Source organism: Homo sapiens, chromosome 17, assembly GCF_000001405.40.
Source record: "Homo sapiens chromosome 17, GRCh38.p14 Primary Assembly".
Lineage (NCBI taxonomy): Eukaryota > Metazoa > Chordata > Mammalia > Primates > Hominidae > Homo > Homo sapiens.
Window position 1 is genome coordinate 21,633,443 of NC_000017.11, and position 11,239 is coordinate 21,644,681.

The window sequence follows — 11,239 nt, forward strand, 5'->3', positions numbered from 1 at the left end:
TTGTCATCAGAATGTACTACGGGGTCCTCCTGAGGACTCCTTTGAAGTGTAGTCATGATTACAGAGTTAGAATGGACATTCTTACGTTGTTCCTGTGTAGGGAGGCATTTAGTCTTTTACCATTACGTGTAATGTTAGTTGCACGTTTTTGTTGATTCTTTTTTTGGTTGAAGAGGTTGCTTTCTGTTCCTAGTTTGAGAATTTCTGTCACGACTGGATGTTGAATTTTGCTTGTGTTGTCCCCCTCCTACACCAGTGTTATTCGTCTGATTACCAATTTTCCGGATTATTGTTGCTGCTGTTTTTTTCATAAAATCAGGCCGGGCGCAGTGGCTGACGCCTGTAATCCCAGCACTTTGGGAGGCTGAGGCGGGTGGATCACTTGAGGTCAGGAGTTTGAGACCAGCCTGGCCAACATGGTGAAACCCCATCTCTACTAAAAATATGAAAAAAGTAGCCAGGCACCTGTAATCCCAGCTACTTGGGAGGCTGAGGTTGGAGAATCGTTTGAACCCAGGAGGCAGAGGTTGCAGTGAGCCAAAATCGTGCAGGTGGACTCCAGCCTGGGCAACAAGAGTGAAACCCCGTCTTAAAAAAAACAAAATTAACTTTGCAGTTTAGTTTATATATATACACATATATCTATATTAGAATGCACTCAGTATATGTGTACATTGTAACAAATTTTGACAAAGTCATAAACTCACAGAACCATCACCAAAATGAAGATGAACAACATTTCTAACACTCCAGCACGTTCCTTGGCACCCCATCCTCCTTGGCACCCACCCGTGTCAGTCCTCCTCCCCCACTTCCTACTAACCTCAGCTCCTAGGAAACCACTGATCTGCTATCTATCATCAAACATTGTATACTTTCTGAGCTTCATGGGAACTCTTTTGTCTGTGACCTTTGGCTTCCCATAATACTTCTGTGATCTATCCATGTCTGGCATGTCTCAGTTCATTCCTTTTTATTGTTGAGATGGGTATAACACAATTTGTTTATCCAGTCACCTATTCCAGTTTTTGATTATTATAGGTAAAATTACTTAGAAAACATATATCTATATATCTGTTGTATCTAGATTATTAAAAGAAGTATTGCCTCATTTTCTTAACAGTATCCTTTGGGGAGCGTACATTTTTTATTTTTATCAAGCCCGATGTACTTTTTTTTTTGAGACAGAGTCTTGCTCTGTTGCCTAGGCTGGAGTGCTATGGTGCCAACTCAGCTCACTGCAACCTCTGCCTCCCAGGTTCAAGCAATTCTCCTGCCTCAGCCTCCTGAGTAGCTGGAATTACAGGCATGTGCCACCACGCCCAGGTAATTTTTGTATTTTTAGTAGAGATGGAGTTTCATCATGTTGGCCAGGCTGGCCTCGAACTCCTGACCTCAGGTGATCTGCCCTCCTTGGCCTTCCAAAATGCTGGGATTACAGGTGTTAGCCACTGTACCCAGCCCTGATGTATTATTTTTACTGTTCATTTTTTGTGCTTTTTGTGTCAAACCTAAGACGTTTTTGCGAAATTCAAGGTCACTAAGATTTTCACTTACGTTTTCTTTTTTTCTATTTTTGTTTTGTTTTGCTTTTGGGTTTTTTTTTTTTTTTTTGAGATGAAGTCTTACTCTGTTGCCCAGGCTGGAGTGTAGTGGTGCAATCTCGGCTCACTGCAAGCTCTGCCTCCCGGGTTCACACCATTCTCCTGCCTCAGCCTCCTGAGTAGCTGGGACTACAGGCACCCACCACCACGCCCAGCTAATTTTTTTTGTATCTTTAGTAGAGATGAGGTTTCACCCTGTTAGCCAGGATGGTCTCAATCTCCTGACCTCGTGATCCACCCACCTTGGCCTCCCAAAGTGCTGGGATATCAGGTGTGAGCCATCACGCCTGACCAATTTTCACTTATGTTTTCTTCTCTAAGTTTTATAATTATAGGTCTTTCATTTAGGTAAATTACCTATTTTGAATTAAAGTTTTATATGTGGTGTAGTAAGCATTGAGTTTCAGTCTTTCTGCATTAAGAATGATGTTAGCTTGGGGAGTGCTCTTTACTCCTGTTTTCTTAAGGGGTTTGTGTAGGATTGGTACTTTTCTTTGAGATGGAGTCTTGCTTTGTCATCCAGGCTGGAGTGCAGTGGTGCGATCTCGGCTCACTGCAACCTCCATCTCCCGGGTTCAAGCGATTCTACTGCCTCAGCCTCCCGAGTAGCTGGGATTACAGGCATGCGCCACCATGCTCAGCTAATTTTGTATTTTTAGTAGAGACGGGGTTTCTCCATGTTGGTCAGGCTGGTCTCAAATTCCTGACCTCAGGTGATCCATCTGCCTCAGCCTCCCAAAGTGCTGGGATTACAGGCGTGAGCCACTGTGCCCGGCCCCAGCTAATTTTTTGTATTTTTAGTAGGGCCAAGTTTTCACTATGTTGGCCAGACTGGTCTCGAACTCCTGGCCTCAAGCGATCTGCCTGCCTAACATATTCTAATATTTTTCCCAGTGTCTTTTTGTTTCAATTTTTCTTTTTTTTAAAGCATACTGAAGTTTAAAATGTTTTTACTGCCATCAAATCTTTTTCCTATAGTGTTTATTAACCTTTATGCCTAATTGCCCTTTCTTCCCTGATATCAGATAAATAAGTACCCACACATTTTCTTTGAGTTTTCATGCAATGAAGAGTAATTTAAAAGATAATAAATGTATCTACAATTTATTTTCAAATAGTTCAGCCAAAATGAAGTTTTATACACATACACAGACAAACACAGAAAGCAAATATGTTAAAATGTTAACTACTGGTGAATCCAGATGAAGGATAAATGAGTGTCCATTACACTGTTCCTTCAACTTTTAAGTGAATTTGAAATTTTTCAAAATAGTAAGTTCGATGGGGAAAAATTCTTTGCTGTAAGCTAGAAATTAGCTAAGCTTCTAGGTGTTTTGTGACCCACCTTATCATGTAAAATATCTTTATCATACAGTAATCTGTGGGGTTTATAAGAAATGTTCTGCTGCATTAAAAAAATGAAATTTAAAACTATAGTGAATAAAGGTCATCTTCCATGGCTGAATACATTACCACAAATGTAGTTTATAGAATTTCGTTTTTTAGCAGAAAAGTGTCTTAAAAACTCATTCATTAAAATGAGTGTGTTGTGTTGTAGTGTGACCCATTTCCATGTCATAGTTGAGAAACTGGATGTTCAGAAGAATTAAGTGACCTAGGTAGTACCTCCTGAGTTGGAATTAACCTAGGACCCCTGACTCTAGTCCTGCTTTTTCTCCTCTAAAGTGTAAACCATGACTACTACTACTAACTAATACTTCTCTTTCCATCTCCCTCTCCCCATTCTCTCCCAACTGCCCACCTCCAGAAGTAAGGATTTAAAAAGAACTAACATTTGTTAGATTTTTTTTTAAATGTTAAGCCTAGGTATATCATTTATAGAAGAATTAAGTAAGCTTGAAAGAAAAAATTACCTACAGTTTTACCAGTTAAAAGTTATTAACATTTTCATGTTGAGTCTTCCCTATTTGTGTGTGTATTATTTTAATTTTAATTTAATTTAATTTAATTTAATTTAATTTTATAGGTTCTTTTTTCTTTTTTTTTTCTTTTTGCTGCTGCTCCTTGTGGAACAGGGCTAACCCATAGGCAGTGTGTCCAGAGTCAGCCCTTACGAGTATTTTAATGTGCTCACTTTGTACATTCTGTTTAACTTTACTTTTGTTTAAATATGTGCTTAGCTTCTTTTCGTGCCAATAAGTTTACAACTGTATTGTTAGTGGCTACTTAGTATTCCACATATGAATAAATAAAGTTCACTGATTAAATAAAGTTATTTATTTAATCAGTTGTCATACATTTAGCTTGCCTGTTTGTTCAGAAGTACGGTGTTGTGACGTGCATTTTTTTTTTTTTTTTTTGAGACAGAGTCTCACTTTTGTTGCCCAGGCTGGAGTGCAGTGGCACGATCTTGGCTCACTGCAACCTATATCTCCCAGCGATTCTCCTGCCTCAGGCTCCCGATTAGCTGGGACTACAGGCGCATGCCACCAAGTTCAGATAATTTTTGTATTTTTAGTGGAGATGAGGTTTCACCATGTTGGCCAGGCTGGTCTCGAACTTCTGACCTCAGGTGATCTGCACACCTTGGTCCCCCAAAGTGCTGGGATTATAGGCATAAGCCACTGCAGCTGGCCCATACATTATTTAGGTTTTTTTTTGTATGCATTCTTACTTATTTCCTTAAGGTAGATTTCTTTTAGTATAATTAATTACAGACCAGGTTGATTTTTAAGGTTCAGTGGGTATTTCCAGATTGTCCTGCAAAAGACTAGGGCCAGTTCTTAACTCCTGGCAACAATGTATAAAGGTACCCACTTCTTGACCGGGCCCAGTGGTTCACACCTATAATTCCAGCACTTTGGGAGGCTGGGGCAGGCAGATCACCAGAGGTCAGGAGTTCGAGACCAGCCTAGCCAGCATGGTGAAACCCCGTCTCTACTAAAAATACAAAAATTAGCTGGGTGTGGTGGCAGGCACCTGTAATCCCAGCTACTCAGGAGGCTGAGGCAAGAGAATCATTTGAACCTGGGAGGCAGAGGTTGCAGTGAGCTGAGATTGCGCCATTGCACTCCAGCCTGGGTGACAAGAGTGAGACTTTGTCTCAAAAAAAAAAAATAAATAAAAATAAAGGTACCCACTCCTCCTGTATCCTTGCTGACACCACGTTTATTGTTTAACAAAAAGATTGTTAATTTGATGAATGATTGTTTTTAACTTATACTTATTATTTGTTAGTAAAATGTAACTTTTTTATTTGTTTATTGGTTATTTTTCCTGTTTTGTAAATTGTTTTTTCATATATGTTGCCCATTTTTCTGTTGGTTTATTTTATATTGAGTTATTAGAGTGCATGTTTTGCAAATGGTTTCCCTATTTAATCATTTGCCTTTTTAATTTGTTATTACTGTTTTGATAAGCAGAAGATTGTGTTTTTGCATGTGTAGTTTTTTTTTGTTTTTGTTTTTTTTTTTTTTTTTTTTTTTGAGACGGAGTCTTCCTCTGTCACCCAGGTTGGAGTGCAGTGGTGCCATCTCTGCTCACCGCAACCTCCGCCTCCCGGGTTCAAGCCATTCTCCTGCCTCAGCCTCCCGAGTAGCTGGGATTACAGGCTCGCACCATCACACCTGGCTGATTTTTGTATTTTTAGTAGAGATGGGTTTTACCATGTTGGCCAGACTGGTCTTGAACTCCTCACCTCAAGTGATCTGCCTGCCTCGGCCTCCCAAAATGGTGGGATTACAGGTGTGAGCCATCGTGCCCAGCAGAAGATTGTTTTTTATTTTATCCATCAATTTTTCTTTTTTAAAAACTAATGTCTTTTATATCTTTTGCTTTTGGCTTTCCTGAACCCAAGATAATGTGAATCTTTTTTTTTTAACTTGAGGCTTTTTGTGATTTGCTAATAAGCCTCTTGTAAGTGTTTGCTATTACTTGGCTTTTTTTAATGTAAGATATGAGGTAAGAATCTAATTCTTTTTCTTCAGGATTGGTATCTGGCTGTTTCAACCCAAGATTGTAAGCTTCATGAAGGCAGATATCTTGTCTGTTTTGATCCACCACCCTATTCCTGTTATACAAGTAGGCACTTGAGGATTTGGTTTCTTATTAAATATTTAATATTTAGAAAGGAAGTCAGTGGAAAATATTTATTTGTAATATTAATTCTTTGGGCATGCATCAGAATCACCAGAGGAGCACTTTTGAAGTCTGCTGAATCAAAATGTAATCTCTTTTGCTATTATATATGTTTCTGTAACACAAACTTACTCATATGCATATAGTGGGAGAATGATATTAATGTATCATGAAAGTCCTGGTGGTTCATCAAAGATCTTTCTTTATGCGTTAACATTTCTAAGTTCTCAGGAGTACGCGTCTCATAATGAAGAAAAAGGCTTCAGAACACATGAAGACTTAAAAATATTTGAACATTCTGCATTTAGTTTTCATTTAGTGCAAGTAGTAACTGGTTTAGTGAATTTAAGAACTGTTGTGCTTTTCACGGTGTTACTGAAGATTCGAGCATTGAAAAGACAACGTGAAGACAAATTTTCTTGTGTGTTTTTTAACGATGATAAAGGAGGGAGGGGGAGAAAAAGAGGTTGATACAGATGGTTATATGCCAAATCTGACTTTTTTTTTCTTTTTTTTGAGATGGACTCTCGCTCTGTCACCCGTGCTGGAGTGCAATAGTGCAATCTCAGCTCACTGCAACCTCTCCCTCTTGGGTTCAAGCCGTTCTCCTGCCTCAGCCTCCCGAGTAACTGGGACTACAGGTGCCCGCCACCACGCCCAGCTAATTTTTGTATTTTTTAGTAGAGACAGGGTTTCACCATGTTGGTCAGGCTGGTCTCGAACTCCTGAACTTGTGATCTGCCCATCTTGGCATCCCAAAGTGCTGGGATTACAGGCATGAGCCACCATGCCCAGCCACTGATATTTTATTTAGATGAAACATAGTGGTTTATTTTGGAAGCCAGTGACCTCACGGATTTATATCTTAAGAGAGGAATCATAAACTGTAGGGCTTAAAGCTGCCAAAGATTGACTGTATGCCAGATGCAAAGGATACTGGAGCTTTAACTTTATTAAGTCTATTAGAATTGTTATTGCTTTTATTGGTGCTTTCCTTACAGAATTGTACAGGTTTTAGGGTATAGCCATTATCTTATTTTCCCAGAAGGCCTCTTAGATTCAGTGCATACTATTACAGAATATGAGGCTTTTCACCAATGTATATTAGCTGAAATATCTGTACTAAGGTGTTTTGAAGCAACTGTCCAGTTATCTCCTGTATGCATTCTTGGCTCAGAACTATTGACTTTTCACAGTTCCTTAATCATTATTTAATATATTTTAGGGTTCTGTAATCCCGTGAACTACCCTCATTGTAGGTTTCTCATAGTCTAAGTAAAATTAGTACTCTAAAATTTATCTGTTTTATAATATTGCTTATGTCTTTACAGCAGACTGGAAATTAATAGGGTGTGTGTGGATGTGTGTTGGAGGGTAGTGGATTTTGGGTGAAAGGGCTTTCATTCTGCTACAGCTCTGCTGATTTGGAGGCGCAATGGGATGTTTTTGGCTAAGGAAATGTTACGTATGCTGTAGTGTGGGCTTTATGAAAGTAGGCCCAGAGATAGTAGCAACTGAAGTTCCTAGGTCACTTCTCTGACTCGTGTACCTCAGTTTTGGTTTGGAAAGCCTGAAAACTTTTGATAGGAACACTTGGCCATGTTATAGTTGTTAAGTTGGGTGGACACACAGGTTTTACCTGGAATAATACTATTTCCCAGCCAGTTGTTCAGACCATTTGAAGAGCCATTGCAAGGAAATGGCTGAGAAGTTGGTATCTTCCTTTGTCATGATTGCATTATTTACCTATAAATTCTCTATAATTTCAGTATTGTTACACTAGAGGCTGATCAACACTAACTCACCTGACTTTGTATAGCTTTTAGGCTCTTCAAAATAGTACATGGTATATCTAAACTACAAAAGTGAGGTGAGAATTTGCATATATATAAATATGAAAGTTACTACTAAACATTAGACACATAGTACACATGGTTCTGCTGTGGTTTAAAACTGGCTTTTTCATTTAAGGCAATCTGGACTCTATTAGTGAGAAATAAATTGTTTTTCCTGGTTTTATTCTCTAAAGGATCCAACATTTGGAGGCAAACATGAAGCTCCATCCTCTCCAATTTCGAGGCAACCGTGTGGAGATGATCAAAATGCTTCACCTTCAAAACTTTCAAAGGAAGAGTTAATACAGAGTATGGATCGTATAAATCGAGAAATTGCAAAAGTAGAACAGCAGATCCTTAAACTGAAGAAGAAACAAGTAAAAGTCTTTGCTTATAATATTCTAAGAATGTGTGTTTTTCTCCCTACAGAAGATATTTTTGAGTTTTCCATATTATGAAACTGTACATAAAAGGAATCATGCCTTATATATTCTGGCTTGCTGTTTTTTGCTGCTATTGTGGTTTTCTTTCATTCATTCATTTTCCTTGCTGCACTGTCTGATCATATGATTGTAGAGAGTGAAATTTGTCCATTCTATTTTTGATTTTTTTTTCTATTCCATACACTGGTGCTGGTTTTTGGTTCACATGTAGAGATTTTCTAGGGCATGTGCCCAGGAATGGCAGTGCTTGGCCCAAGATTATGCACAGTGAACTATTTAATAGATGACACCAAATTTGCTAAGAAGTAACACCATTTTACATTCCCACTGGCAACTTACGTGGGTACTGGTTTGTGCACATTCTTGCCTTTACTTGATATCATTTTTTCATTTGGATATGAAATAGTCTTCTCTGTGGTTTGGAAGGAGGCTGAGCTTATTTTCATTTGTTTATGGGTTATTTGGGTTCCTTATGTGCATTGTTCATGTCTTTTGTCTATAGTCTCCTATTTTGTCATTGAAATTTTTAGGATTCCCTGAAGTCCCTTGTCAGGTATGTGTATAGAAGATTTGCCTAGTTTGTGGCCTGTCACTTCACTTTTAGCCCAGTATCCACTCTAAGTGTACACTAAGTGCATTTTTTTTTCCACATTTCGAGTCTCACTCTGTCACCCAGGCTGGAGTGCAGTGGTGCGATCTTGGCTCACTGCAACCTCTGCCTCCCAGGTTCAAGCGATTCTCCTGCAACAGCCTCCTGAGTATCTGGGACTATAGGTGCTATAAGTGCTTTTAATGTATTCATAAAGTTGTACAGCTATCACCACTCTCTAACTCTAGAAGATTTTTATCGTTTCAAAAAGAAACTCCATACTTACTAGCAGTTACTCCCCATTTCCCCCTTTCCCCAGCCCCTGGCAACCACTAGACTATTCTCTGTCTCTATGGACTAGCATGTGCCAAATATCAGAAAAAACAGAATCATATGTGACCTTTGGTGTTTGGCTTCATTTGTTTAGCATGTTGTCCTGATTCATCCATGTCGTATCTTGTCTCAGCACCTCATTACTTTATATGCCTGAATCCCATTGCGTGAGTATACTATGTTTTGTTTATCCATTCATTAGTTCATGGATATTGGAGTTGTGTTCATTTTTTGACTATGATTAATAATGTACTGTGATGAGATTCATGTACTCGTTTTTGTGAGGACGTATTTTTACAATTTTCTTTATATGTCTAGGAGTGGGCATATGGTAAATCTATGTTTAAATTTTTTGAAAAACTTCAAAACTGTTTTCCAAAGTCTCTGTACCATTTTATATTCTTACCAGCAGTGTATGGAGGTTCCATTTTTTCCTACCTCCTTGCCAACATCTGTTATTTTCCTTTTTTTTAAAAAAAATAGCTATTCTTGTAGATGTGAAGTGGTATCTAGTTGTAGTTTTCATTTGCATATCCTTAATGACTAATGATGTTGAGCATCTTTTCATGTGCTGATTGGCCATTTGTATATCTTTTTAGAGAAATGTTCATTTAGATTGTTTGCTCATTTAATTGGGTTGTCTTTTTGTTACTCTAAGAATTCTTTATATATTCTGGACATTAGTTCTTCATCAGATGTATGACTTAATAGGTATTTTCTCTCATTCTGTGGGTTCTTTTCACTTTCCTGATAGTATCCTTTGATGTACAAAGTTTTGAATTTTGTTGAAGTCCAGTTTGTTTTTTCCTTTTGTCACTCTTGCATTTGGTGTTGTATCTAAGACCCATTGCCTAATTCACGGTCACAGATTTATACCTATGTTTTCTTCTACAAATTTTATAGTTTTACCCCTTATATTTGGGTCTTTGATCCTGATAGTGTTTTTCTGGTGAACAGAATTTGTTTAGGTTTTATATGAAAACCCACTGGGGTTATTAAGGTAGTTTTACTGTATTATTTGTAGAAGTTTTATAGTTTTGCTTCTCATCTTATTCTTAATCCACTGGAAACTACATATTGTATAGTCAGTGTTCATTTATATTTACTCAGATATTTGTCTTCTTAAGTGCTCACCATTTCTTCTCACAACTTAAGTCTTTCATCTAGGGGAACACTCTTCTACTGAAGAACATCTCTTAGAATTTCCTTTAGTGAAGGTCTCTTAGTTAGCAAAGTCAGTATTTGTTTGGTTTTTATGACTTAAATATTGTCTTATATTTGGGCTGTTTATTAAAAGATATATTAATTTCATATGTGATTATTTTTTCTTAGTACATTGTCTTCTTGCTTCCATTTTTAAGACATTAGCTCTTGGTCTAAGTCCATATTCTTTCATGGATAAAGTGAATTTTCTCTCTGCTTATTTTCAATATATTCTTTTCTTCAGGGTTCCGTTATTTTTATGATGATACATTTAGGTGGTTTTTTTTTTCCCTTTTAAATCTGTCCAACTTGAGCTTCCTGAATATGAAGGGTGGAGTTTTTCATCACTTTGGGGAAATTCCAAGCCATTATCTTTTTTACAAAACCTTTCTAACAGTTTATTGTTCTACTTATGAAATCCTGTTAGTTGTAATATCACTCTTGTCTTCCATGTCTCTTGTTTGTTTCTTATTTTTTACTTCTTTGGGCTTCCTTCTGAGCAATTTCTTCAGCCTGTCTTCCAGTTTGCATTTTCCTTTTCAATTATATGTAATCTGCTGTCAAATCTGTCTTCAATTTCAACAATTATGTTTTTATTTCTGGAATTTCTGTTTGGCTCCTTCTCAAATCTGCCTGGTCATTTTTTAAAATGTTTTTTTGCTTTCATTGAGTTGTATTAAATTTTTATTATATACCCAACAATTCTAATTAAGTCTTTATTGGTTTGATTTTGCCGAGTCTCTTTTCTTTTTTCTTTTGTCTTTATTTTCTTTACTTGTACAATGGTAATAATCTAGTAATAACACCAACTAAATCACATGATTGTTTTATGAATTGAGATAATGAATATATTGCATAATATGTGGTACATAGTTAATGTACATGCAATCCATTATAATAATTAGAAATAATGAAATATAATGTATGATTATTAGGAAATGTACCAGAGCCACAAATTTTATTGAGCGATATAAAAGACAACTAGAGGAAACAAAGAAATGTGCCATAGCTGGATGGAAACAGTAATAATAATGTTGTGTGTTCATCTTGGACTAAATCATGTCTCATACAATTTCAATAAAATTCCAATTAAATTTATTTTTAAAACATGGCAAATACATTGTAAATTTAATG

At 37.2% G+C, this 11,239-nt stretch overlaps 1 long non-coding RNA gene across 6 annotated transcripts in view; it reads left to right on the forward strand.

The window, feature by feature from the left end:
* The window catches only part of LOC101930665 (uncharacterized), a 31,355-nt gene extending 20,551 nt beyond the window's left edge, over positions 1–10,804 (forward strand). For all 6 annotated transcript variants that reach the window (XR_934333.3, XR_934335.3, XR_429862.4 and 3 more), the window contains one exon: positions 7,732–10,804. This is a non-coding gene — a long non-coding RNA (uncharacterized LOC101930665). The remainder of the gene's footprint in view (positions 1–7,731) is intronic.
* Positions 10,805–11,239: the final 435 nt, after the last annotated feature.